Source organism: Homo sapiens, chromosome 1, assembly GCF_000001405.40.
Source record: "Homo sapiens chromosome 1, GRCh38.p14 Primary Assembly".
NCBI classification, from domain to species: Eukaryota; Metazoa; Chordata; class Mammalia; order Primates; family Hominidae; genus Homo; species Homo sapiens.
The window spans coordinates 169,105,738-169,133,037 of NC_000001.11; the positions used below are offsets into that span (position 1 = coordinate 169,105,738).

Genomic DNA, 27,300 nt, shown 5'->3' on the forward strand with positions numbered 1-27,300 from the left:
CCGGCTGGGCTGGCCTGCAAAGAAGAGGGAAGGGCCGGAACTGCAACCGCAGTGGCGGGGAGTGCGAGGGGGCGGCAGGTGCAGGAGCGGGAGGCGGGGCGGAGCTGGGCAGAGTCCTCGCCAGTCCGGCGTCCCGGAGTGACCTTCCCCCACCCCGCCAGCGCCCAGGAGGGGTGGACCCACAGCCCAGGGAGGCCGAAAGCGCGGGCGGGCAGGCAGAGGCGTGGAGGCTGGGCCAGGACTGCCGGGCTGGGGTCCTCGAGGCTCCGGGCGACCCAGGTGCGGATCCCCCAGCCACGGAAGGGGCGGTTCACGCCCAGCCGGGAGCTGGGAGGGGGCTGCGCGGCGCTGCCTGCGCGTCCCTCACCGCCGCCCCCGCCTCCTCCTCGCCCCGCGCCCAACGCCCCGCGCCCAGCGATCCAAGCGGCCCCTCTAGCCCCGGCGGCTCCTTTGTGCCGGCCCCGAACCCGCCCTCTCGGGCCGAGTCCCTGCCCCTGGCGCCGGCGATTGGCCACCGGGCCGCTAGAGGGCGGGGCGCACGGCCGCCGGGGCGCGGTATATAGTAAAGGTAGGGCGGGCGCAGCCAATTCCTCGGCTCCTGGCGGGAGTGCCGGTGGCGCCCCGCAGTCCGCTTGTCCGTCCTTCCCTCTCTGACTCTCCTACCCCGGGCCTGTCTCTGCAGAGGTCAGGGGAGGCGGGGGCCCAGCACACGTCCCCAGTGGCAGCGGGAGCGGCAGCTACGGGTTCGCGGAGCCCCCGACCCCCCAAGGGCTAGAGGAGCGCTCGGCGGACCAAAGAAAGCCCGCGAGCGGCTGCGCGCCCACCAATAGGTGCGGGGCTCGGAGCCGCGCAGCCTGCGCCGTCCCTCCCTCCGCCCCCGCCCCGCCGCCGCCGCCGCCGCCGCCTCCCCCTCCTCCTGCTCCTGCCTTGGCTCCTCCGCCGCGCGTCTCGCACTCCGAGAGCCGCAGCGGCAGCGGCGCGTCCTGCCTGCAGAGAGCCAGGCCGGAGAAGCCGAGCGGCGCAGAGGACGCCAGGGCGCGCGCCGCAGCCACCCACCCTCCGGACCGCGGCAGCTGCTGACCCGCCATCGCCATGGCCCGCGGGAAAGCCAAGGAGGAGGGCAGCTGGAAGAAATTCATCTGGAACTCAGAGAAGAAGGAGTTTCTGGGCAGGACCGGTGGCAGTTGGTGTAAGTACGGGGTCCGCAGCTCCCGGCCGCCGCGTCTGATCTTTCCCGGGCGGCGCATCCCCTGCGCAGGGTCCGCGGCCGGTTCCGCACCCACCGCGCTGGCCGGGGTGGCGGGGGCGAGGGTGGTGGACGCTGCTGGGTCGCGCCGGCCTGGGCTTGCAGTCCTGTGCGGAATGCGGTGTCCCCAGAGTGGGGCGCAGGGTCGGGGCTGGAACACGACAGGCGGAAGGTTATGCATATCGTAGCGATCTTGGCTTGGTAATTTGCAGTCTTTCCTACCGTGCATCGGTTGAGCCTTTTACTCCTGGGAATAGTCAGGCTCTGCGAGACTACATTTGTCTCTCCCGTGTCCTGAGTCCTTAAAAAAAAAATGAGATCTGGGGTCTTGAGAGAACCTCGTGAGGTGATGGGATCTAATGCAGACGAGGTTGTGTGTTACAGCATCTTTCTTCTAGTCTAAATACGTATCTCAAAAGAGAGGAAAGAGAAGGGTGGAGAGGAATCCATCCACACTGTAGTATTTCACAGCGATGGCTAAGGATTTCCCTCCATGACCTCCCCTGGAGTCATCACCACCCAGAAATGGTTCAATAAGCTCCATTTCAGGACTCCGATTCTTAGCTTTGGCCCGAAACCTGGCAAAGTCTGGTTGTTTTCAAGGTCTACACAGACAGTTGTGGATCAGTCAGTAGGTTGGGTTGATTATGGTGAAGGGAATATAAACGCAGAGCAGCTGATCTTAAAATATTTTGTGCAGCCTGTTGCTTGGTTGGATAGACTTTTTTCCATCGAAAATTAGATTTCTTGTTTTCAGCCTCTCCGGAAAGGTGACTTTTTTTTTTTTAAAAAAAAGGTCATTTTGAAGGGCAGAGTTGTAGGCGAATCTATGAGTCGTGACTGCGTGAGGGAAGGAGGGAGGGAACTCCCCCTGCTGCATCACTGCCCCCTCCTCCTCCAACATCATCATCATCATCATCATCATCATGACCATCACCACCAACACCACTGGCACCACCACTGCAGTCATTCAGGGAGTCCTGAACAGAGGCCGATTGGTGTTCCTGCTTGGGAGGATCTGTGGGAATCGGCAGGAGAATGAGTCAGGGAAATAGTGCTTAGCTGACATTTTGAAATGGAAGAAGCTGGAATATATGAATTTTTGTAAAGAAAAAAAAATGCAGCCTGTGAGTCTCTCTTGATTGAAAATTAAAGGGTTAATAATGCATCACACTTCAAGGTTAGTCAAGGTGAAGCGTCTTTCCAAGGTGTTACTGGGAAGCATAGGTATCCCTGAGCCATGGAAAATGTAGTTCTTTAATGGCTTTTAGCTTTTGTTTTATATTTTATTTTGGGGAGACTTCTTCATTGAGATTATTGTCATAGTGTCTCAGGCATAAAGGTAGTTTCCTGTGTTTTACTGTGGAAAGGAAAACCTGAAGAACTGTGGGGTGTGTGTAGAATGAACAGCTCCCTGGCAACTCCTTGTAACTTGAGGGAGGCCTGGAAGGTGCACTGCGGTATGGGCACCCTTCTCCCCAGGTTAGCTGGGGCTTCCTTCTCTGGTGGTCTGACCCTGCTGCGTCACAGGGGCAGGGGCTGCATTGACTCTAGGCACATTGTGAAATTTGCCTTCTTGTCTTTTTCCCCTTAGTATAATATGCATCTTTGCTCATTCCAGTTTCATGCTTCTCAGAATAATACTTGCTTTAGAGGGTAAGGCAGTATGGACTGACTCATTTTTAAGCCGACATTTAATGGGCAGCACCTCCATGAGAGAGAGAAAGAGAGACCGTGTGTGTCAATTTTTATGTCTTGATATCCTATCCAGCAAGCTATCAGTATGCTGATTTGTGAATGTAGACCCAGGACTGCTGTACTTGCCTCCTCTTCCCTTCCATGTTCCACGGTACAGGTGCTGGGCTAAAAATCCCCTTTTTGTTTTGTGCTAATATGTCTGCCCCTTTCTGGCAGTGTAAAAACTGTCAGAGCCTCTCTTAGGTAGAAAAGGCGGCAGCAATTACCGTCTCCTACGGAGAAAATGCCCCTTTTCCAGCACTGGGCCCAACATGGATGCCCTTGGGGCGAGGGCAGGATGCCCTTGGCTCGATTTTGCTTATAGGTAGATTTTCACCAAGATGGACGCAGGAGACTCGCCTGTCACCTGCTGGAGAAATCACAGCATGCAAATCACTTTGTGCCTTCTGCCTTTTTATTAGGTTAATACAGACATTGGTAGGTTTTATATTTACAGCTAGGCCTGGATGCCTGCCTGTGACCTTTTGAAGGGTACACACTGTTTGTTTGTTCATTTGTTTGTTTTTCCAAAAAAACCTCTGTATTACTTTTTTTTAAAAGAAGAAAAATTGCGTGAAAGGGAGATGCCTCTGAAGCCTCTCAGCTCCCCTCACAGTGCCACCCCAGATAGTTGGTGTGACTTATCTAGCCTTTTTTTTGGCTAGTGGGGAGCCCCTGGTGGCCTGTGTCTGAGTGAGCCACTGCATAGGCCCCTCTAGTCCTGAGTGCTCCACTCTCTCCCAGTGACCTCACGGCAGTAACTAGGGAGATTTTATCAACTAACATCTCAGAGCAAAAAGGGAAAATTCCTCACTTTTCTTAGGATATCGTGTGGGCAGAATAGAAAGGCTGTCTGTTTCTGAGCTTAATCGGCGTACTTGCAAAATGACTTGTTTTTCCGTTGCTCTTATTTGTATTTTAAACTGTAGCCTCAATTATGTACCCTCTTATGTTGTTAGAATTAGGCATCTGGAGTCCAGGGAATGAGTATAGAGATGTTTCAGTTGTTCGAAGGGGCACATGTAGGTAAGGTAAGAGCACCAAGATGAGGTGGGGGTGGGGGGCAGCAAGAGGAAACTTGAATCAGGGCTACGATAGCTGCCTTGCTGACTGTTACACCAACTCTTGCACCTCTTAGGAGCATTCACTGGAAAAATTTTCCAGATCTCTTGACGTCACAGCGTTGCCATTTGCCTACTGCTGCTTGGATACAGAATGCAGCACTTAACCCTTGTCCTGCGGGGAGGGAGTGATTGAGTTGGGTGCTGTAGTTCTGGATTACACAACCTTTTCTTTCTTCCTTATCTTTACTTCTGTCTTTGCTTTTTTCCTTGTTATTTGCTTTTGATAGAGGAGAAAAAGGATTATGATTAAGCATTTTGCTGTGGTTTTGTGTGTTTTGCTTGTTTTAACAGCTCTGTAGCCTGATTTCCTTTAACTGTTTAGTGCCTGATAGGAAAGTTGGGCTTTTAAATGTATGGACAGGGCAACAAGGCTAATTCCTGCAGTTGTGTACCCACTCCCTCCCTGGCCCCCTCCTACCACATATACTTCTTTTCAATAATACTGTTTTTCAGTGGCTTTTCTCCAAGTACCCTGGCATTTTTAATGCATGAGATCTGGACCTTTTTAGCAGTAACCTAAGGCTCCTTTGTGCAGTCGTGCTTCTGACTCGATAACCTTACAGTTCACTTGTTCCCTGTTTTGCATTCACATTGAGTCGTTTGGCTGGCACAGGACTGCCAGGCAATGCCTAGTACAGCCTGTTACTATGCAGCTAATCAGGGAGATAATCCTTGTAAACCAGTAACTGATAGCCACCCTCATTCCCATCTATGTGTTGAGTCTTTTTTTTTTTTTTTTTTTGCTTTTGCAGCTATTTCAGCCTCCATCCTGTTGTCTTGTTAACTATGGGAAAAAGAAAATGCAGCCCAGCAAGTCAGTCATTATTCTTGTTCCAGTTCCAGAAGATGGAATTAAAATGTGCTGGTCATTTTCACTATAGAATTTTCTTTTTTTCCCCTTGTCTTGTCCTCCGAGGGGAAAGAGTGTGCTTTGTTGATAATACAAACCAAAGGGAGAGTGATAGTAAAAAAAACAGGAGGATATCATCACTGGGTTTCTCAGGATTCATTGCTCTGCCATAGCAAAATAACCCTCAGGCATCTGAGCATTTGGAGAAACAGCAGAGCTTGGATTGTAGTATTTAAATGTCAAGGGATATGCAAGCAAAGAAAACATAGGTCTCTAAGGGAGTATACTGTCATATTTTAAATTCATTGCATAAGCATCCAAACATAGCTCTAGATTTTATTGGTGATCTTCATGATTTTTTTTATAATTTTGAGAATAAAAAATATGGATACTTTTTTTAAAATTTAGGGAATAAAAAAATATAAGGATCCTAGTTCTAGCTGAACATTCCTCCTACCCTTAACCACCTCCCATACACACTGCAAGTGGAGGGCTGCCCAGCTTCTCGATTTTCACCCTGTGTCAGTGGGGTGAGGTGCACTCTTGACGTTGGACAAGGAAGAAATCATGGGACCGGGGGAACCAGGAAGGAAGCTTGTTCATCCGTGGGAAGATTAAACTTTCATTCTGAGCATATGACTGCATCACAGCTTTTTGTTTCTGTTCTTCTTGCAGTTAAGATCCTTCTATTCTACGTAATATTTTATGGCTGCCTGGCTGGCATCTTCATCGGAACCATCCAAGTGATGCTGCTCACCATCAGTGAATTTAAGCCCACATATCAGGACCGAGTGGCCCCGCCAGGTAAAATCCACATGAATAGCTTCATTTCCTTCAGAGATAGCATGGGTGTCACTTTTTCTATTGAGAAAAAATTCTTTGGAAAATTACTCTATAATGTAGTCTTAAAGCAACCATGAAAAGGGAAAAGAGAAACTTCTCTCGGCTGCAGCCAGATGTCCTACCCGCATTGCAGGCAGAGCTCCCACGGGTTGCAGACATCTTATTTGCCCAGTTCTAGAGTGAGGGTGAAGCGTCCTGGTTCTTGGCCAGCCTGCTACCCACCAGCTATGTGACTGTGAACAGATTGAGTTCTGATGGGGGCCTCTGTCTTCTCATTTTTCATATTCTAGGGTTTGGTTAGTGGGATCCTTTCCAGACCTTTTCAACTCTAACAGACATTTTTTTACTTCTTGAGGGGGGCTATGACTCAGGTAAATTCTTTTAAAAAAGTCACTTGGGCTCCTGTTTTAAAAGGTGAACTTATTTTTAGAGATGATAAGAAGCTGTGGAATGGGCAGCTACTCACAGGGAGAGGAGCCATGACTTTAGGGGTCTATTGTCCCACCTGCTGTTAATTTGCAGTTTGAGCTTGAACAAAGTCACTCTTACTTCTCAATATTTATACCCATTGATTTAATAAGCATCTCATTTGCCAGCTTTCTGGTCCCACTTTGTAGTTTAATTAACTGTCTCTTTTAGCTCTTAAAAACTTGGGTGAACAAAAAGATTATCATAAGAAATGCAAACTGCCACACGAGTCCCTGCTGTGACTTGGGTGCCATCAGTGTAGAGCTATGTGTGTCCACACCAGTCGTGAAAGGCCCATGGCCATCATGCCTGATGCTGATAGGACAAGGCAGTGGAATAGCCACAAACGTGAATTTACCATCTGGCTGTTGTAAAAATCATTGTCTGGAGGACCTAGAGAGAAAGTGTTGCATAACTTCCGGGCTCTCACTTACGAATGACCTTGAAGCTGCTGCTGAGGGATGGCAATGACTTGTCCCTTCTCTGCTTTCCCTTGGCAAAGGTTTAGTAACAGCTGTATTTAGGTGACAATCTTCAGATGATCTACGTGGCCCTGAGCAGCCTAGATCAAGGGCTACTGCCTGCCACAGGCTTTTCCTGCGTACCTCCTTGAATGTGGGAAGGATTCACAGAGGAAGATCTTCAAAATACGGAGGTGGCAAGCATTGTTGTGTAGCCCTAAGTCAAATAGTTCTCCACTGTAAGAAAAACTCAAAATATTTCCAGATAAATTTAGAGCTGAGGGATTGGGGAAGTGGAAAAAAAAAATCACGTAAGTAAATAACATAACTTAAACCTGCTTAATAATCCAGTTTCCAGCAACTGTTTTCCACAAGAGGTGGGTCTGTGGAAAGGTTGAAGCAAGAATTCTGGAGTATGCAGAGAAGCTGAAACATGTTTTACGTTGGGTATGGTGATAGGGAAGCATTGTGTCTTTTCATGTCCTCTTCTGCTAGAACTTTGTGGTACCATTAGTTGTAATTTTAATTGGTGCGGATATTTTGTTTTTGTTCTTTGTTATGCCATTTAAAAGTTATTCTTCCATCATGATGTGATTTTATAATTCTTTTTTTTTTTTGAGACAGAGTTTTGCTCTGTCACCTAGGCTGGAGTGCAGTGGCGCAATCTCAGCTCACTGCAGTCTCCGCCTCTCAGGTTCAAGCGATTCTCCTGTCTCAGCCTCCCAAATAGCTGGGATTATAGGCATGCACCACCATGCCTGGCTAATTTTTGTATTTTTAGTAGAGACAAGGTTTCACCATGTTGGCCAGGCTGGTCTCGAACTCCTGGCCTCAGGTGATCCACCCACTTCGGCCTCCCAAAGTGCTGGGAGGTGTGAGCATGAGCTACCATGCCTGGCCTGCTGCTGTTTTATAATTCTTATACTCAAAGCCAAATACGACTACAAAGTCAAATATTTTCTTCAGGAAATTTCCTAGATTAAAAAAAAAAATGGTCCTTGACTATATAAACTTTGAGGAGTCAGCCTTTAATGAAACTAAAAATTCTCTTTGTGCCCTTTGCAGAAAGGAAAATTTAACTTTGGAAAAGAAATAGCCAAAGGGCCCAACCTTGTAAGTAAGGACTTGGAAATGACCTTGCCTGTAAATCAACTGGCTGAAGTGCTCAGTCCTTTCCAACACCCTCTCACGGTGCCTCCCTTCCCTTCCTTCCATCCCCTTCCTAAAAGACATGTTCTTAGTACCTATATTTAGTGTGCTCACAGCAGTTGGACTGACCTGACAAACCCTGACTTCTCCAAAGGAATGCTGGTGGCTCATCTTGGAAAAATGCATTCCTGTCCTGTGGTCTGAGTCACAGGAAAAGTCCTCAGTCCTCCATCTTCCTTGTTCTTTGGCCTGGTAATTTCTGTCTCTTCTTTTCCTCATCCCTTCCCCCATCACCTTTCAGGAGAGTCTAGGCCAGGCCCCTCCTCTTCACCTGCCTTACCCTGTGGGGTTTTTCGGGGGCCTTTACCAAGGGACATGACATTCATATGAAAATGACAGTAACCTTGATCAGGCCAGGCCAGCAGAGTGCCGAACCTTGATCAGGCCAGGCCAGCAGAGTGCCGGCTGCCACAAAGTGCAGCTCTTGGGCCACCCCTTATGGCCCTGTGTTGCCTGAGGACCCTCCTTGGCATTTTTCAATGCCAAGGACCCTCCTTGGCATTTTTCAGAGTACGTGTTAGAAGTTTGTATTTTGCATAGGAAATAACTCCTTAAGTATGCAGACAAACAGTGTGTTTAAGAATACCCTGACAATTTTTTGGCTTCACATTAGTATCTTTAAAGCCTCCATTTTCATGTTTAGTTAAAGAGGGAAAATTGTAAATTTGAGTTAGATACACCTAGTGGGTGTGAAAGTTTGCATATGATTTAAAGATATAAAGACTTACTAATAATATTATCAGCTGAATTTGAGGCATGAATGCAAATCCAGCCTGACTGGGTATTGACTGCCCTTTGTACACCGGAATACCTTGTAGTTGGATCTCTTCTCAATAACGTGTGAATGTGGCCATATCAAGCAGTGGCAATTGTGCAGTGAGTGTATTTGGGCCTGTATGGCGATAATATTGGATAAACTGAGAGGCCAAACATGAAATCTGAGAGGAGAGACTAAACTACAGAATGGAAGTGAAATGTAAGAAAAAATGGTGAATGTGTACAGCTTCTTGGCCCTGAACAATGGTGGCCGTTTAATGCACATGATATTCCTTACAAAGTCGTGTTGCAGCCGGTGTGGTAGCTCATGCCTGTAATCCCAGCACTTTGAGAGACTGAGGCAGGAGGATCCTTTGAAGGCAGGGGTTCAAGACCAGCCTGGGCAACATAGCAAGACCCCATATCCACACACACACAAAAAATTTTTTTAAGTCTCCTGTTAAAAAAAAAGGGGTGGGGCCAGGAGTGGTGACTCACGTCTGTAATCCCAGCACTTCCGAGGCAGGCGGATCATGAGGTCAGGAGATCGAGACCATTCTGGCTAACACAGTGAAACTCCGTCTCTACTAAAAAATACAAAAAATTAGCCTGTCGTAGTGGCGGGCACCTGTAGTCCCAGCTACTCGGAAGGCTGAGGCAGGAGAATGGCGTGAACCCGGGAGGCGGAGCTTGCAGTGAGCCGAAATTGTGCCATTGCACTCCAGCCTGGGTGACAGAGCGAAGACTCCATCTCAAAAAAAAAAAAAAGAAAAAAAAGGGGGGTGGGGAATCATATGCTCTGTGAGAACTAAATGAGATGATAAACATATATAAAGCAAATAGTACTTTATGGTGGCAAAACCAATGGTATTAAGTGTAGGGTAACTGTTGAGAGCAACTTCTGTTTTTTTCTTTTTTTCTTTTTTTTTTTTTTCAAGAGGGAGTCTTCTTCTGTCGCCCAGGCTGGAGTGCAGTGGCATGATCTTGGCTCACTGCAACCTCTGCCCCCTGGGTTCAAGCGATTCTCCTGCCTCAGCCTCCCGAGTAGCTGGGGCTACAGGTGCGCGCCACCATGCCCAGCTAATTTTTGTATTTTTAGTAGAGATGGGGTTTCACCATATTGGTCAGGTTGGTGTCAAACTCCTGACCTCTGGTGATCCACCCGCCTCAGCCTCCCAAAGTGCTGGGATTACAGGCGTGAGCCACCGCACCTGGTCCAGGGTTTTTATAGCCCTATCTTTCTACTAGAAGCAGCAGTTTCTTCTTTTTGGACACTAAATTTCCAGATATGACAGGGATGCTTTGCACACTTAGATTTTCATGGAGTCAATAAAACCTTAGCTTTCCATGGAAATGTTTAAGAGACATTTGGGAAACATGTTTTTAAAAATTTTAAAGTGAATTTAAATGGCATTGTATTTGTTGTGCAGTCTCTCCCTTTAACAAACCCATGCTTGTTGGGTTAGCGCCTGCCAAGCTTTTCTCCAGAGGAGACCCCCTTAGGCAGTCCTGCAGTGCTGCTCTGCAGCATCGCTTCTCATCTGTTGATGCAGTTGGATCTGGGGAGAGACGCAGCAATTAGCTATGCTGGAGAGGGCTGAGCAGGCACAGGCACGCACACCCACGTGCATGCCCACGGACATGCAAGCGTGCACACACACGCATGCTCATGGATATACACACACACTCAGGCTACCAAGCCCTGGCCCTGATTTGACCCTGCTTGCCTTGCTGCCTGCCCAGTGGTGTAATGGAAAAGTCTCTTCTTCACATCCGCCATTGCCCTTCCCCCACCTCAGGCTCACTTAGCAACAGTGGAGTGAAATGAAGGTCACTGTGTGTCAATCGGTGGGTCCGGGAGATTCCCAGCTGGCTTGCTTCCTGGTAGGCAGGTATGAATGTATGCTGCTGTTCTCTCTTTTAAGGTTGTGGGTGGCTGTTTGTTTAGCTCTGAAGTATAGACGGCTCAGTGCTAGCAGACACATTTTCAAAGGGTCATATTCTTGGCTTGTTGGTAATCAGAATCGGGCAGGAGAAGTGGGGTGGATGCAGACCAGCTGACCACACTGGCACCACCAGCAGTTTCAGTTTCATCTTGATTGTAAAGAGGAAATATCTAATCTTAAAACTCATTAGGGGCCTGGCGCAGTGGCTCATACCTGTATTCCCAGCACTTTGGGAGGCCGAGGCAGGCAGATCACCCGAGGTCAGGATTTTGAGACCAGCCTGGCCAACATGGTGAAACCCCATCTCTACTAAAAATACAAAACTTAGCTAGGCGTGATGGCAGGCACCTCTAATCCCAGTTACTTGGGAGGCTGAGGCAGGAGAATCACTTGAACCCGGAAGGCAGACGTTGCAGTGAGCCAAGATCGTGCCACTGCACTCCAGCCTGGGCAACTAGAGCAAGACTCCATCTAAAAAAAAAAAAACCAAAAACAAAACAAACAAAAAACCCATTAGGGTTCGAGTCATTATCATTCTATCTCAGCTTGATTAAGTAAAATTCCTGAGAAGTCATTATGTCAGTCTCAGAATACCTAATTTTTCCACCCCCCGCAAACTACCTCATACTTGTATTACTATCTCTCACTCACACTTCAAAGGAGAAATAAGGGGAAATTAGAAACATTTGGCTTCCTTATACTTTGGAGGGGTTGTTAGTGCAAAGTGCCAGTAAGGTGTTTCCAGTTAGAATACACTGCTTTGTAATCTCTCAGCTGACGCGATGTATCTGTATACACCCAGCTGTCTCTCACTTTCCCTCTCCTCCTCCCTTCCCACCCTCAAATGGATCCTGTCTACCTGGTCCCAGAATTTGTGGATGAGTTAGCATTGGTGGCAATTAGATTTCCAAAAGCTACTGCACAGCCTTATGACTTGGTAAAGGGTTTGTGGGGGGAACTCTGTTTGGCTTCAACAACTCAACTACCCAGGTGGTGATTTCTTTATTTCTAAAGACAAGGGTACAACTAGTAAGTCATCTCTTGGGTACACAGGAAACCTAATGATTTACTTTAAAATGTTCTTGGAGCCACAGAAAAACAGATCTTACATTGTATGCCCATTGTATGATGAATAAGCAGAACAGAGACCTGATAAGTAGGAAGGACCAGGTAACAAATCTGTGGGAGTGATGGTGGGGGAAAAAAAAAAGCTGGATTTGTGAAGCTTCATTTAAGGATTTTTTGCTGCATTCACCCAAGGGTCATAGAAAGTGGGGTGGAAAGAGCAGTAGCCTGACAGGTCCACTTCTACCATAAAATCTGATGGGGTTATTGGACTGGTTGCTCTTAACTGTTGGTCAGTGCTCTCATGCTAGTAATCTGATGACCAGCTGGTCTGTCGGATGCAGTCAAGACTAGTGAGAAGCTGGGGAGATGAAGGGAACAGGGATGTATCATCCAGCTTTTTCCCACATACATGCATGAGTAGATCTTATCAAATGTCATGTAGAATGCAGTGTCTTGTTTCAGGATATTACTTAACAAATGTTATGTTTTATATCTAGATAAGTCAAATATACTATATGTACTTGCTCTTCAGTTTGGCCTTGAGCATAATTAATGTAAAATACTAGGATTTATCTATTTGTTTATGTTATTCTTTTATAAAAGTGGCACCTTTCCTTTATTGTATTGAGAATAAGCACAATTATGAGCTATACAAAATACCAAGGATTTGCCCCTATGGAATATGCATTTTTAAAGATAGGTCAACTGAACTAAATAACTCCCTGCTTGCCTGAAAGTGAATATACAGCCACAGGAAGAAGAGGACGGATCAGAGAAGAGCCTAAATCAGAGTTCACGGCATTTAGCTTAGACAGGAGGAATGATTTCTTTACCCTGAGTGTTGGTAAACATCCAGATTGGCTGTAGAGACAGTCCGGGGATTCAGTTTTCTAAGACTTTGTAAAGGGAGCAGATTCTGAGTGTCGGAGGGTGTGAATGTGACCCTGCCTGCAGGCAGGGAGATTTATTCCTTGCTAATCTCAGAGCCTGAGTCTGGGAGCTGGAGGCAGAAGGTGAGTCAAAGGTGGCTAGTTTCCAGAAAGTGCAAAGGCGCCTTTTTTCTGTGCCTCTCCCCTTACTTTGCTAGGTAAGTTGATACCAACTCACAGATGTAAAACAAAAATAAACAAACAAAATCCAGAAATATCTTAGGTCCTACAGAGTGGCACTTAAAGGAGAAATTTCTATCTCATATATGTGCGTATGCATACATATGTGTGTGTTTATGTGTACATATACGTGTGAGTATGTATGAATTCATACCTCTGTGTATTTTTTTTAAAATTGGAAATTACTTTTCAACTCGGAATGTATAGGAGACACATGATTTGTGCATGGCTACATTTAAAAGCATTTCTTTGCTTCCTGTGCCCTTCTCAGTCATATGGGTACCTTCCTGGAGGTTTCCATGGGAAATGATTCCTATTTAGAGATTTGATCTAGTGATTTATCAGATGTATTAAATGACAGGTGCAAGCAGCTGTGCATTTGAATAACTTACAAGGTTGAAATGGCTACATTCTAGTTTAAATACTTTAAACTCACATGTAGATTGAGAAATGATGAACTTGCTACATTATAAACCTAAAGAAACAAAATCCTTTCCCTCAAGCCTTTTCCCCCTTGTGCTATCAACACTTACTAAAGCTAAACATGGAGGATCTTCCTTATTTCTCAAGAGATGGGGACCAAAGGCAGGTAAATGTGTCTTTGAAAAGCAAGTGGGAAGCCAGAAGTTTTTTCTAAATCTAAATCTTATGTAAAGTTGAAATACTCATTGAAAACCAAATATTAAAATTTTACATACCCAGATTATGATTTCTGCCTCTTCAAGTGGCTTTGTTAATTAATGATATATAGCTTAAGGCAAATGATCCTATCAGAACAAAGCTGTCTCTAGAGCTCAGGGTGGTTAATGTAAATTCAAGTTTAGAAGACTGGAGAGGGAAAAGGTTAGATTTGTTTCCTGGAATATAACTTGAAATTGCGTGCCAGCGATTGGGTGTTCTGCTGTCTTTGGCCCTCTGGGAGTTACCAGTGCAAACAGAGCTCATCCTTGTCCAGAGTCATAACTAACAACTTTAAGAAGTGGGCAGTAGAAAGAGGGGCATGATGGGAGAAAGCGTCTGGTCTAGTGTGAAATATGACTCATGAGAACTCCAGTCAGCAAGGTGGGATTTGTGCAGCCCTTGGAGAATGTCATGGTTGGAGAATTTGGGTGTGGCCTCAAAATGCAGATGCTCTTCGATTTAGGATGGGGTTATGTTCTAGTAACCCATTGTAAGTCGAAAATACTGTGAGTCAAAAATGCATTTACTAACCCTGCTAAACCCACTGTGAAGCTGAAAAATCATAAGGCAAACATTGTAAGTTGGGAACTGTCTGTAATAATTACCAAATCCAATCCCATTGCTTTCTATCTCTTCTTAACAGTCTGATAATCCTAAAGTAAATGATTTAAAGGATTTGGACATCCTTTCAAAGGTCTTTCATCTTTCTCTTGTGAGTATCTAGTTGCTTTAGAGAAATAACTTGAGAAGAGGAATTTTTCTAATCTTTGGAGAAGACCTCATCAAAAACTGTCCTAATTAAGACTATCCAGAACAGAACAGACCCGGGGGCTGATCTGTGGTAATTTCCAGGAGAAGTTCTCAGGCCATCAGGCTTCGGATAAAGAAAAGAGAGGAGGCAGAGATAGTGGGTGATGGAGTGAGAGACCTTGTGGAAATGTGAGGAAAGAGAGCAGAAGAGCTACTAAGGAGGCAGCGGCCACTTGACTGTGGCGTGGCCTCCTGGACATTTGTTTATGTAGTAAGCATGTGTGAGCTGATTGCATGACCTAAACCCAGACCATCTGTTTTTTTACTGGAAATGACGTTTGGATCAAAAGCTCTGTATCTTAAATGAATGGTCATTAAGGCTTATGTTAGTTACCACCGTCTAAGACCCCTCAGACTCCAGAGGGAAACATGAGCTCACAAAACAGTAAGACATGACTGAGCTTTCTGGGGTTTATCTGTCATTCCTCGGCTCCTTCTACCAAGGTTCTCTGTTACTTAAAATGGAAAGGACAGGGCAGAGGCTTTGGCCTAGGGTCTAATCCAGCTGGGCAAGTCACAGGGTTCTAAGACTCCGTGCTTAGCTGTCTTATGTTTCACCCCTTGCTTTCTTGGTTTCACTAGTTTCTGATGCTTCTGTAAGAGCAAAGTCAAGATTCTTCAAGCAGCCTGCATCTATGTTTCCCTCACAAAGTAATTATAAACTTGACTGGCTTAGATCATGAGCTATGCTTACTGAAAAATTTGGGCTTTCAGGTTGAAAGGGATGTGATTCCATTACTTGGTTTTCATTATTTCTTATTTGCCCCGTCTAGAGAGACATGAGGCCAATTGTGTATATAACTCTCTTCTGGGCCAGTAGTACCACTTCATGTAACAGTAATACCTATTATTTTCACAAATGTGATCTTAGATATTTTTTTTCTTTCTCTTTTTCTTTTCTTTTCTTTTTTTTTTTTTTTGAGACAGAGTCTCGCTCTGTTGCCCAGGCTGGAGTGCAGTGGTGCTGTCTCAGCTCACTGCAACCTCTGCCTCTTGGGCTCAAGCGATTCTCGTGCCTCAGCCTCCCAAGTAGCTGGGATTACAGGCATGTGCTACTATGCCTGGCTAATTTTGTGTTTTTAGTAGAGATGGGGTTTCACCATGTTGGCCAGGCTGGTCTCGAACTCCTGGCCTCAAGTGATCCACCCAACTCATCCTCCCAAAGTTCTGGGATTACAGGCATTAGCCACCATTCCCGGCCATATTCCTAGATGATTAACAACAGAGGCACTTACAAGAAAGATTTGTCATAGTCTATCAGTAAACATGAACTTAGTTTTGGTCATAGCCCCTAGGCTCCTGGGGAATGCACTAGCCTTATCATTTTGTTAGTAAAGAGCCCAGAGGACTGAGTGAGAGTTGCTGATGTTTTGAGTCTGACACATGTCCCCTGGTCACTTTTAATAGTGGAAACCGTGGACTTGACATTGTGAAGGAATGAAAAGCGCTCAGCATAATACCTCCTCCTGTTCTTACTCTCCTTTTTTTTGTGTGGGAGAATCTGAGAAATGGCATCACTATTCCTCATACTCATATCAAAGTAATGGAACCTTGAGCAGCCACTGGAAGAGAGAATGCAAGCAGCCAGAAAGTGAGAGGCAAACCACTGGAGAGGCTCACTGAAGCCAGGCCAGGGAGAACAAGGATGTTTGTGACACTTGCTTCGCAATCCAGGTTTTACCATGTTTACTCTCAACATGACCTTCTAGGGTCACTCCTCCTTTCAGCTTGTTAGGTGAGACTCTCCAAATCTCAGTATCAGGCTTGTTTATATTTTGGCTTTTGCTGCATCCCGCCCTCTGCTGATGGACCACAGCTTGCATAATTGTTGTTTATCACACCAATGTCCCTATGGTCCCCTGGCTGTGGGTCTTCCCCTGACCTTCCCTGAAGGTCAGATGAGATCCCTCCTTGGTTTCTGACATTTGCTCTCCTTCACTTGTCTAGCCATCCACCACCCTCCTGCCTTGTCTTTCCCAAGCCTGGAAACACTGTTTAACCTTGTGTACATAAGTCCATTTCTGTTCCTGACTCCCAAACATCACACAGAATACTTGGAGGAGGTTCCTGCAGACCTCCTGCCTGAGCGATGCACAGGCATTTGTCTCTCTCTCTGGCTGCCTATGCACTGGCTCTTCGGGTGGCCCCTCAGCATGACCGTCCCTCAAGGCTCCATTCTCTCTTGACTCCAGGATTCTCCCATTCTGAATTTTGTTGAGCCTCTGGCTTTGGGTCTGCTGGTGTACTTCCCCCAGGTCCAGGCAAGTCACCTTGACTTAAGTGTCTTATTTACAACTTAAACCAGGAGTGACCCTCCCTACCCGACTTCCCCATTTCACTGGGTAACTCTGTTTACCATTGCTGTCTCAAGCATTAACTATCTGTGGAAGCTTCTGCTCACCTTTATTTTTGCAGGTATCTCTTCTCTTTACAATACTGCTGTTTTGCACCATAAATGATCACAATGCCAATTTTAACATAGAAAAAGATTGTTCAGGGTATATTTAAATTGCTTTAGAAATACTAAAAAATTATGGCTTGTAGGCATTTTTACAAAATTTTAAACTGTAATCTGTGTTTATTTTAAACTGAAGATTTTTATGAGCAAATTCTGCTACTTCCCCTTTGATTCATTTCTATCACTGTTGAAATTTTTGTCCCCCATAATTCTTCAGGTTCTACATCATCCTTTTCAGGATGATTTTTTTTTTTTTTTTTTTTTTTTAATTGCGATAGAGTCTTGCTAGGTTGCCTGGGCTGGTCTTGAACTCCTGGGCTCAAGCGATCCTTCCATCTTGGCCTCCCAAAGTGCTGTGATTACAGGCATGAGCCACTGCACCTGGCCTGAAGATGATTGTTAATGTCCTTAAGTCCTTTGCCCTGGGCACCCCTGTGCCTTGCTCCAGTGATTACTTGTCTTCCTCTCTATCCCTTCCATTCCTCTAGGGAACTACATGTGTGAAAAAGCATATCTATACAACCCCCTGAGCCCACCTCATTATGTAACCACTTTTAAAGCATCCTCAATCACTAGAAAGAATAGCATTTAGTCGAGCCTTACTGATGCCTGCTTCTCAAGCCCTACAAATGGTGCTGCACTCTAGTTATCACTTCCACATTCGTTAACGTCGTTGTCTTCATATCTGAGTCACTGTTGCCACTCTCAGATTATAATTCCCTAGAGAAGCAGTTGTAAGCCAAGGGTGTTTAAAGATCTTTTCGTACTTATTAAACAGATTCTCAAATCTCTTTCTTAGAGATTACGATTTTGCAGGTCTGGAGGGGAGTCTCTGAGACTGCATGTTTGACAAGCCCCTAAATGATAGTGACATAGGTGCTTTCCTGACCTGCTGGGAGGTGGGGGTGGGAAGCCAGGGTAGAGTCACTTATCAAGGATAGTGATGATGTGCCTCCTTATGGGCCCCACACAGAGAGGGGAGATCTGGGAGTGAGGAGTAGAATCAAGTTGCCAGATTTAATAAATAAAAATACAGGGTGCCCACTTAAGTTTGAATTTCAGTTAAACTATATCTCTCTCTCTATATATATATATATTTATATATATCTCTATCTATCTATCTATATATATAGGTTTTTTTTTTTGAGATAGAGTCTCTGTCACCCAGACTGGAGTGCAGTGGCACGATCTTGGCTCACTGCAACCTCCGCCTCCCGGGTTCAAGTGATTCTCCTGCCTCAGCCTCCTGAGTAGCTGGAATTACAGGTGTGTGTCACCATGCCTGGCTAATTTTTGTATTTTTAGTAGAGACGGAGTTTCACCATGTTGGCCAGGCTGGTCTCAAACTCTGGATCTCAGGTGATCCACCCATCTTGGCCTCCCAAAGTGTTGGGATTATAGGCGTGAGCCACCATGCCCGGCCTCAGATAAACAATAATTTTTAAATGTAAGTGTGTCCCACATAGCATTTGGGACATACTTATATTTTTTTAAAAAAATGTTCTTTGCTTATCTAAAATTCAAATGTAACCAGGCATCTTTTATTTGGCAGTCCTACAATAAAATGCAGTTGTGATGGACTTTTCCAACCATTGCTCCTGAGTAGTGCTGTGTAGTGTGGTTCACATACCCATCTAGGAAGTCTCATGAAGGCAGCGGCTTTTGGATATTAAAGAATGTAACAGAGTTTTAGAGAGTGCAAACCCAAGGCATACGGACTTTGAATTTTATCTGACCGGCACTGACATGCTGAGACTTTCAGATTGGAAAGCATTTGTGGTTACTGCATGTATGTCCCAAATTCTTCCCGTTTAGTTTAAAAGATCCAAAGAAATATCTTGGTTAGGTAGGCTTGAGTCTAGAGAATTTGGAATGGTTATACATTTACTGACAATAAGGATTATAAAAGAAGACCTCTGTGTCCAAGGCTTACACGTAATTAGGGAGGGTAAAGCCACCTGCACACAATGCTAGCTAGCAGGGTATTTTAAAAAACTGTGCACGTTGGGGTACTAGAAACATAATGGGCTTTGGAGTACAGCACACCTGGGTTGGAATTCTGGTTCTACCACTTTCTGTGCAGCCTTGGCCCAGGTAGTTAATCTTTCAGTGCAAGCAGTGTTGTCATTCATAAAATGGAGGTGATGCCTACCATGAAGTGTTGCTATGGAAATTAACTGATCTGTGATATTAAAGCATAGTCACTGGTACTTGGGGTTACCTAATCTAAATGCCAGAGGAGTGATTTAACAAGGGAGGCAAGACCCTTTCTTTTTAGCCAAGTGGAGTTAGCAAAGTATGTTTTGTATGTGGAAAGTCTACTTTTGAATTGTCTTCGTTTCTGCCTTCCTACTAATGTTTTTCTCTCTGCCTGGTCTAGGATTAACACAGATTCCTCAGATCCAGAAGACTGAAATTTCCTTTCGTCCTAATGATCCCAAGAGCTATGAGGCATATGTACTGAACATAGTTAGGTTCCTGGAAAAGTACAAAGATTCAGCCCAGAGGGATGACATGATTTTTGAAGATTGTGGCGGTAAGTAGACTCATTGTAGATGTCTGTGGCTAGTTTTCTTTCTCTTTAACTCTTATTTCCCACTTCTATTTTTTGTTTAATGATCGAGAGATAATCCTGAAATAATGAAAGATTGAACTCTGGCCATATTTAGACACTTTTTTTAAAAAAAGCAGGAAGACACAATGAAAAACAGTACAGCCTCAAGTATGACTGTTTTCTGCATTGGAAAGGTGTCTTACTTTAAAACACTCCTAGGTACTATTTTTTACTATTCAGAGCCAAGACAGCAATTCCGGTTTTCTTTCTCTTACATCCGTTGAAAAGTACAGCTACTTATTTCCTTATCTTCCCCCAAAAAGTTCTCCCTATAGAAGAGTGCACAGGGCCTTCTCTCATCAGAAAGACCTTTTGGTGTGATTAGCTATCACTGCACTGGCATTCATGAAGGAGGATGTATGGTCAGGGTATACTTTTATTGATCCTGGTTGGGATAGATAATGAAATATGTGTTAGGCAGCTGATCGTTTTGGATAAGGAAATGACTTATGAAGGGTAAAGAGAGGCTCTTAGTTTCATTAAGTCATTGACATGAATACATGTCCTCACTCTTACTACCTGGACTGTGAATTTTCCAGTCCATGTTCTCATTCTTTCCACAAAAAAATACTCTCGCTGGGTGCAGTGGCTCATGCCTGTAATCCTTGCACTTTGGGAGGCTGAGGAGGGAGGATTGCTTGAGCCTAGGAGTTCGAGACCAACCTGGGCAACACAGTGAGACCCCATCTCTACAAAAAATAAGACAAGTTAGCTGGGTGTGGTGTTGTGTGCCCGTGGTCCCAGCTACTTGGGAGGCTGAAGTGGGAGGATCACTTGAGCCTGGGAGGTCGAGGCTGCAATAAGCCATGATCACGCCACAGCACTCCAGCCTGGGCACCAGTGTGAGACCCTGTCTCAAAAACGTTAAAACAAACAAACAAACATAAAACATCTCTCTGAGTTTTACTAGGTAATATCATCCCTTCTGATTCAATTCAAGCATTTACCAACTCCAGTTCTTTATAAGGCAGGCTGTGGCTTGGTCAGAGTATGGGGCGAATTGCCATTTTAAGTTATTTTGGAAATATTTAGTAACTTAAAAGAACATTTTCAGTGTGAATTTTTCTCATTAGAATTTAAATGAGGTTTTCATCTTACTTTGCAGTAATTAAAAGGCCTGAGGGATAATCAGGGTGAATCACTTCAAGGAGATAGTCTAAATTCAGACTCTTCGCTATTTGAAGGGAAAATAGTTCATTTGTGAATTTAAAAACTATACATAAATTATGGTTTGCATTATTTTCCTCCAGCATGCTATACATTAACTTTGAATTCTATATTCACTTGGTCTTTTTCTGGCTTTTATATGAGGATTGAATTAAAAATGCCAGAATAAAATTTCTCAGTCCAGCAAATGCTTAATGCATAGCTTTAAAAGGCAGAAACTCAAATCAAAAAAGCCTGGGCAACACAGCAAGACCCCAGTCTCTGCAAAATTAAAAAAAACTAGCCACAGGGTGGCACACGCCTGTAGTCCCAGCTACTCAGGATGCTGAGGTGGGAGGATCTTTAGAGCCCAGGAGGTTGAGGCTGCAGTGGGCCATGATCATGCTGCCGCACTCCAACCTAGGCCACGGAGTGAGACCCTGTCTCAAAAAAACCCTTAAGTGGTGGTTGAAAAGGAAAATACCAGTTCCTTTTTAAAAATTCTGACCAAAAAAAAAACCTAGTTCTGAAAATTATTGACAGTCCTTTTGTATTCTGATTATAATATCCCTGTTACTGAGCTAAGCCAGTGTTGACAGTGTGAATGATGCTACTCACGCAGTGTGATCCGTCTCCTTTCAGTCTTCTAAATAGCTGAGTAATCCATTATTTAAAAGAAGGGAAATATTGCCAGAGACTAAATATTACGTGCTGATCAAGTACTATGAAGCTTTGGTGTGGGGCCATATACCAGCTATTCCTTTTGGTAAAATATCTTTTAATATGAGTGAAGAGGTGAGAGATGGTTTTCCTGGAGATCTTGCTTAATTCAGATCATGCATTAAATGCAGAATAGCGTACTCTCAGAATAGGTAACTATGACAAGGAAGACAGTTTCTTTTTCTTAGAACTGCTAAGGGAATTGCTGGTACAATATAAAAGTTGTGTTTTTATTTTTAGATGTGCCCAGTGAACCGAAAGAACGAGGAGACTTTAATCATGAACGAGGAGAGCGAAAGGTCTGCAGATTCAAGCTTGAATGGCTGGGAAATTGCTCTGGATTAAATGATGAAACTTATGGCTACAAAGAGGGCAAACCGTGCATTATTATAAAGCTCAACCGAGTTCTAGGCTTCAAACCTAAGGCAAGTAATATTTTAAATGATAGAATTTAGATGAGTCATTTACACTAAGTACTTAATTGATCTGAGAAGACAATGTAAGATAGTTTTAAAGTATACTCAGTGCTGACTTTGAAACGTAGCCAGTAGAGTAACACCAAAAACTTCTGTATCCACCCTGCAATTCTTGTAGTTAGGACATTAATCTCATTTTCTAAAGTTAAAGGAATTCTGAGAGGCAAAGCTGCATTCTGAAGTGAGTCTGTGGCCCTTTTCTTAATACTCCTGCTCAGTATCCAGATAACAGTTTCTATAACATAAACTCTTTAAAAAAGTAAAAATGGAAAAATATATTTTTTCCCTGGTGGTCTAGTGGTTAGAGAAAAAAAAAAGTTTTTTATTTTTTACTTCATAAAGAATGGATTAAAAAAAAAATTTTAACCCACTTGCATGTATAGTCCAGTTTTGGTCCTCTGGAAGCCACAGGAACATTTCAAAAAAATTGATAATCTGAAAAAATATTTTTTCTGAATTTTATTGCGGAAGTAGAAGTTTAACATCATCTAGGCTGAATTTTGCTAGCCATGCTGTTGGCTTTTTGTATTACTGCAACTTATAATGGATAAACATTACTCTGGATCACTGAAAAATGAGCAAATTGCCATTGCTCACCATTTGGTGAGATTATATTCTCCATAAGAATGGAAAATTTATCGTTGTTGTCTGCTTTTGTAAAGCTGGTCATTTCATCCTCTCCTCCAGATCATGAATTAATGCTGTCCTTTCCCCTTAAGCCTGGCTTCTTCTGGCAGGTTTCCCCCTAATCACCCGTATATGAGCGTTGGCATTATGAGTGTTGTTTCTAATTTTGATAGAAATTGACTGCAGTATATTGAGTTATGTGAACAAACTCATTTCATTTCTGAAATCTGGCACTTTTGTTCATTAATTTTCTATTGAATGCTATTAATTTATTTCTACAATGCTTGTTACCCATGAATAATATTTTCAAAAGAAAATCAACACAGAGATAAAAAGTTTTGTTAACTGAAGGATGCATCAAAGTTCCTTTATTGCCATCAGAGGCAAAAATGAGTAGGTGGGGATGGATGGTTGCCTGGCTGGCTAGTTTGATGGACTGCTGGCAGAAATTAATGTACCTCTCAAAAGGATTTTAAGCTTCTTTCCACATAGACAGGATATAATGGAAGAAAAACGGTGAGAACCATTATGCCAAAATGTATTTGATATTCATATTGCTGGGGAATACTTCACTGAGATCAATCAGCTATTTAGCAGCAAAAGAAATTGTTGTGGCATGGCCAAGAGAAGACTCATCCCATACTTTCTGAGTACCTTGCTTTTGACATTACTCATCGTAGACACTGAATGACATTTGGACCCCACAGAGGCAGTCTAGTCTATTGTGATTGATTTCTTCCCACATCTTTAGAGTTACTTGGTTCAGTGATAAATTCAGCTACTCTTTCTTTTCAGTCCTTTTTTTCTTTTTTCTTTGGTCTCTACTTGGTTATCCATTGCCACTGCCTAATTCATCACCTCCACCCAAATCTCCAACTATTTTGGAGTTATTTTTGTCAGAGATCAGAGTATCCCAGCATCTCACTATCCTCACCATTGGAGGATAGATTCTGGCAACTTCTTAGTGAGCATTTTCTCTACATATTTTTAAAGACAAATACATTGCTGGCAGAAACGTCCCAAAGAGTCAAATCTAGACGATCATTTTCTTGCATCCAAAACAGAGTAGTAGCAAAATAGTAGTTCCTTCCTGATGTGGAACTAATATTTTATCTGACTTTGATTAGACTATGTATGTGTTACATCTCACATCAAGACTCACTTGCTGTGCTGATCTGAGTAAGCAAGTGACTGTCTTCCAGCGAAGTATGTTCATCACACTTCTGAGATAGATTTGAGCCATGGGTGTAGAAGAGGAGGCTCTGGATATTTCATGACAGCAGTAATTTTCAGACTGTCCTCTGGGTCCCTTCAGTGGATTCACCCCTTCAAGACCACCCTTCCTCTTAGGGCAGTGACACCTCTGCCTTTTTTACATATTGGACTTTCCTAAGAAAATTGCAAAGAAACGCTCCTTAAATGGCAGTCTCCCCGACTGGAGATTAAAACAACAAAAAAGGAAAGCCTACTTGAAGTCATGCTTGAGGGAAAAGGATGACATTATTTATTCATGACTCAGGAGGAAAGCCCACGCTTTATAAAAACAGAAATGTCAATCATCTTTCTCATGTAATCTAATCTTAGCAAATAACGAGCATTATATTTTGGGTTGACTTAGTTTTCAGTGTCTTTAAGCAAAGCTTATAATGGGCTACTATTAAAAGTTCCATTTAGTACTGGTTTGCATCACAGCTTAATTGTAGTCGTTATAAACTTGGGCACTTATTTTCATTTCAGCAAAATCACAAACATGACCTTAAATTGGTTAGGGGAGTCATTCATTCTGCTGTCCTGATGTCTTTTGTTATTTTGGTTGACTTACTGTGACCAGTGTGTACTTGTTTGGACTACGGAGTAGTTTTATTTTTCAGAAACTTAAGAAATCATTTACAATCTACTGATCATAATGGGTTTTATTTTTAGCCTCCCAAGAATGAGTCCTTGGAGACTTACCCAGTGATGAAGTATAACCCAAATGTCCTTCCCGTTCAGTGCACTGGCAAGGTAAAGACAAATTTAGGGTTACTGGGGTGGTGGAAGGGTAGGCAGAGGAAGAGGGGAGAATGAAGAAGACTGTTTAAGTGACAGGTAGAATTTTAATAGAAGAAATAAGAAACATTGCTTTCAAGTATAAGTCTCAGTGAGATGAATTGTAGCTATACTAGGTAAAACTTTTTAAAAGAACAGAAAGATGTAATCAGAATAAGACTGATGTCAGTTTCTCCACTGGCATAAGAAACTCAAATATCTGAATTTAATACATTGGGATATTTGCTTATCAGAACTGAGAGGTGAATTAGCCCACAGAAGTACTTTCTGGCCCACAGCATGTATTAAAAATTTGGGGCCAACATTAAAAAAAAATTAATGTCACATAAAAATTAGTGGTTTGGGCTTCTCTTTTAAAAATATTGAAATATCGCCTGGTGCAGTGGCTCACGCCTGTAATCCTAGCACTTTGGGAGGCCGAGATGGGCAGATAATGAGGTCAAGAGTTTGAGACCAGCCTGGCCAACATGGTGAAACCCTGTCTCTACTACACATACAAAAATTAGCTGGGCGTGGCGGCGCGTGCCTGTAATCCCAGCTGAGGACCTGAGGCAGGAGAATCGCTTGGACCTGGGAGGCGGAGGTTGCAGTGAGCTGAGATCACGCCATTGCACTCCAGCCTGGGGACAGAGCAAGACTATCTCAAAAAAAAAAAAAAAAAAAAAAAAAAAATTGAAAGACTAAGGTAACAATTAGTGCATGTTTCCTTTGGATCCAAAAACTAATGGACCGTTTAGAGAGAAAGGCAGAACAAAGAAAGGGAGTTCCCAGACAGTGCTAGCACCAAGCAAGGAAGTGGAGATTGATTTCTCAACAAGAAAATGAGAGGCAAGTAGTAAACTTTGGAGATAATATCACTAGACAGATTATTTACTGGGCCAACAGCAAGGTGTTTCTGCCTTTCAATGTTGGCCTTGTTTCTAGGAGGCTTGAAGAATGCTTATTTGGCATTTGACTCAGCTTCCCCATCCATTTGCACATTGAGAATAGTCTCTTCTTATGACCATTTCTCAAGGCTGCAATGGAATAGACTGAGTAGATGTTCTTTCCTCTCTCAGTAGTTTGCAAACTACTGTGTAGATTGAGTCTTGTTTTTGAGTACACATAGTGATGCATGATGTGAGCCATTAAAATTTCATTTCATTCTGGATTTCAGCGAGATGAAGATAAGGATAAAGTTGGAAATGTGGAGTATTTTGGACTGGGCAACTCCCCTGGTTTTCCTCTGCAGTATTATCCGTACTATGGCAAACTCCTGCAGCCCAAATACCTGCAGCCCCTGCTGGCCGTACAGTTCACCAATCTTACCATGGACACTGAAATTCGCATAGAGTGTAAGGCGTACGGTGAGAACATTGGGTACAGTGAGAAAGACCGTTTTCAGGGACGTTTTGATGTAAAAATTGAAGTTAAGAGCTGATCACAAGCACAAATCTTTCCCACTAGCCATTTAATAAGTTAAAAAAAGATACAAAAACAAAAACCTACTAGTCTTGAACAAACTGTCATACGTATGGGACCTACACTTAATCTATATGCTTTACACTAGCTTTCTGCATTTAATAGGTTAGAATGTAAATTAAAGTGTAGCAATAGCAACAAAATATTTATTCTACTGTAAATGACAAAAGAAAAAGAAAAATTGAGCCTTGGGACGTGCCCATTTTTACTGTAAATTATGATTCCGTAACTGACTTGTAGTAAGCAGTGTTTCTGGCCCCTAAGTATTGCTGCCTTGTGTATTTTATTTAGTGTACAGTACTACAGGTGCATACTCTGGTCATTTTTCAAGCCATGTTTTATTGTATCTGTTTTCTACTTTATGTGAGCAAGGTTTGCTGTCCAAGGTGTAAATATTCAACGGGAATAAAACTGGCATGGTAATTTTTTTTTTTTTTTTTTTTTTGTTTTTTGGCTCTTTCAAAGGTAATGGCCCATCGATGAGCATTTTTAACATACTCCATAGTCTTTTCCTGTGGTGTTAGGTCTTTATTTTTATTTTTTTCCTGGGGGCTGGGGTGGGGGTTTGTCATGGGGGAACTGCCCTTTAAATTTTAAGTGACACTACAGAAAAACACAAAAAGGTGATGGGTTGTGTTATGCTTGTATTGAATGCTGTCTTGACATCTCTTGCCTTGTCCTCCGGTATGTTCTAAAGCTGTGTCTGAGATCTGGATCTGCCCATCACTTTGGCTAGTGACAGGGCTAATTAATTTGCTTTATACATTTTCTTTTACTTTCCTTTTTTCCTTTCTGGAGGCATCACATGCTGGTGCTGTGTCTTTATGAATGTTTTAACCATTTTCATGGTGGAAGAATTTTATATTTATGCAGTTGTACAATTTTATTTTTTTCTGCAAGAAAAAGTGTAATGTATGAAATAAACCAAAGTCACTTGTTTGAAAATAAATCTTTATTTTGAACTTTATAAAAAGCAATGCAGTACCCCATAGACTGGTGTTAAATGTTGTCTACAGTGCAAAATCCATGTTCTAACATATGTAATAATTGCCAGGAGTACAGTGCTCTTGTTGATCTTGTATTCAGTCAGGTTAAAACAACGGACAATAAAAGAATGAACACATTCCTCGTGTGTGATTCACTCTTGTCTAAATGTCCCAACCTGTGACTTCTTTACTTTCCACACCACTAATTATCCAAGATCTTGAAGAAGTATTGAACCTGAAACGGAGAAACACATAATTTCTTAGTTCAGACAAATTTTGGTCTTTTCCACTTAACAGAGTCCAAGAGGTTGGTCAGGACTTCAGACACTGGCATACCCCTTCCCAAAGACACTAAAAGTTAATCAATCAATCAGAGGCAGAGAATCGATGAAGCTCCAGTTTGAAGTTCCATTTAAAAAAATCATCTTGCAGTGCTACTGCTACTTCACTCAGTT

General features: G+C 43.4%; 2 protein-coding genes across 4 annotated transcripts in view, besides 12 other annotated features; one reads left to right on the top strand and one right to left on the bottom strand.

Moving 5' to 3' along the window:
* Positions 1-920: a silencer, noted in NCBI's record as "silent region_1545". NCBI's record gives its function as "represses an Ori minimal core promoter by ATAC-STARR-seq in GM12878 lymphoblastoid cells {active_cell/tissue: GM12878}" and the evidence as "EXISTENCE:reporter gene assay evidence [ECO:0000049][PMID:35858748]".
* Positions 1-1,089: a biological region, named in NCBI's record as "Sharpr-MPRA regulatory region 5967".
* Positions 434-728: an enhancer, noted in NCBI's record as "tiled region #5967; K562 Activating DNase unmatched - State 1:Tss". NCBI's record gives its function as "activates a minimal TATA promoter and a strong SV40 promoter by Sharpr-MPRA in K562 cells {active_cell/tissue: K562}" and the evidence as "EXISTENCE:reporter gene assay evidence [ECO:0000049][PMID:27701403]".
* Positions 517-1,089: an enhancer, noted in NCBI's record as "H3K27ac hESC enhancer chr1:169075492-169076064 (GRCh37/hg19 assembly coordinates)". NCBI's record gives its function as "activates a minimal SCP1, AML or CMV promoter by ChIP-STARR-seq in primed H9 embryonic stem cells {active_cell/tissue: H9 hESC(primed)}" and the evidence as "EXISTENCE:reporter gene assay evidence [ECO:0000049][PMID:30033119]".
* Positions 953-26,982, top strand: ATP1B1 (ATPase Na+/K+ transporting subunit beta 1). Its single transcript, NM_001677.4, has 6 exons — positions 953-1,189; positions 5,633-5,761; positions 19,147-19,302; positions 21,487-21,671; positions 24,273-24,353; positions 25,555-26,982. Exons 1-6 carry the CDS (start codon positions 1,093-1,095, stop codon positions 25,816-25,818), a joined length of 912 nt encoding a protein of 303 aa, NP_001668.1. The 5' UTR covers positions 953-1,092; the 3' UTR covers positions 25,819-26,982.
* Positions 1,090-1,662: an enhancer, noted in NCBI's record as "H3K27ac hESC enhancer chr1:169076065-169076637 (GRCh37/hg19 assembly coordinates)". NCBI's record gives its function as "activates a minimal SCP1, AML or CMV promoter by ChIP-STARR-seq in primed H9 embryonic stem cells {active_cell/tissue: H9 hESC(primed)}" and the evidence as "EXISTENCE:reporter gene assay evidence [ECO:0000049][PMID:30033119]".
* Positions 7,242-8,441: an enhancer, noted in NCBI's record as "CDK7 strongly-dependent group 2 enhancer chr1:169082217-169083416 (GRCh37/hg19 assembly coordinates)". NCBI's record gives its function as "activates an origin of replication core promoter dependent on BRD2, BRD4, P300/CBP, MED14 and CDK7 cofactors, with strong dependence on CDK7, by STARR-seq in HCT116 cells {active_cell/tissue: HCT116}" and the evidence as "EXISTENCE:reporter gene assay evidence [ECO:0000049][PMID:35650434]".
* Positions 7,242-8,836: a biological region, named in NCBI's record as "CDK7 strongly-dependent group 2 enhancer GRCh37_chr1:169082217-169083416".
* Positions 7,894-8,188: an enhancer, noted in NCBI's record as "tiled region #11596; HepG2 Activating DNase matched - State 14:Gen5'". NCBI's record gives its function as "activates a minimal TATA promoter and a strong SV40 promoter by Sharpr-MPRA in HepG2 cells {active_cell/tissue: HepG2}" and the evidence as "EXISTENCE:reporter gene assay evidence [ECO:0000049][PMID:27701403]".
* Positions 7,894-8,188: a silencer, noted in NCBI's record as "tiled region #11596; K562 Repressive non-DNase unmatched - State 6:EnhF". NCBI's record gives its function as "weakly represses a minimal TATA promoter and a strong SV40 promoter by Sharpr-MPRA in K562 cells {active_cell/tissue: K562}" and the evidence as "EXISTENCE:reporter gene assay evidence [ECO:0000049][PMID:27701403]".
* Positions 8,194-8,836: an enhancer, noted in NCBI's record as "H3K27ac-H3K4me1 hESC enhancer chr1:169083169-169083811 (GRCh37/hg19 assembly coordinates)". NCBI's record gives its function as "activates a minimal SCP1, AML or CMV promoter by ChIP-STARR-seq in primed H9 embryonic stem cells {active_cell/tissue: H9 hESC(primed)}" and the evidence as "EXISTENCE:reporter gene assay evidence [ECO:0000049][PMID:30033119]".
* Positions 10,440-11,059: an enhancer, noted in NCBI's record as "H3K4me1 hESC enhancer chr1:169085415-169086034 (GRCh37/hg19 assembly coordinates)". NCBI's record gives its function as "activates a minimal SCP1, AML or CMV promoter by ChIP-STARR-seq in naive H9 embryonic stem cells {active_cell/tissue: H9 hESC(naive)}" and the evidence as "EXISTENCE:reporter gene assay evidence [ECO:0000049][PMID:30033119]".
* Positions 10,666-10,855: an enhancer, noted in NCBI's record as "active region_2069". NCBI's record gives its function as "activates an Ori minimal core promoter by ATAC-STARR-seq in GM12878 lymphoblastoid cells {active_cell/tissue: GM12878}" and the evidence as "EXISTENCE:reporter gene assay evidence [ECO:0000049][PMID:35858748]".
* NME7 (NME/NM23 family member 7) overlaps positions 26,794-27,300 on the bottom strand; it is a 235,267-nt gene continuing 234,760 nt past the window's right edge. For all 3 annotated transcript variants that reach the window (NR_104229.2, NM_197972.3, NM_013330.5), the window contains one exon: positions 26,794-27,080. Coding sequence is in view for 2 of the 3 variants with exons in the window: in NM_197972.3 (NP_932076.1) it covers positions 27,048-27,080 (33 nt within the window). In the remaining variant the exon portion in view is untranslated. The remainder of the gene's footprint in view (positions 27,081-27,300) is intronic.

Excerpts from the sequence above, each read along its gene's own strand:
- ATP1B1 (NM_001677.4), top strand. The coding sequence starts at position 1,093 with ATGGCCCGCGGGAAAGCCAAGGAGGAGGGCAGCTGGAAGAAATTCATC. Across the intron at positions 1,190-5,632 it reads CAGGACCGGTGGCAGTTGGT|TTAAGATCCTTCTATTCTAC; the intron begins GTAAGTACGGGG and ends TTCTTCTTGCAG. Across the intron at positions 5,762-19,146 it reads GGACCGAGTGGCCCCGCCAG|GATTAACACAGATTCCTCAG; the intron begins GTAAAATCCACA and ends TGCCTGGTCTAG.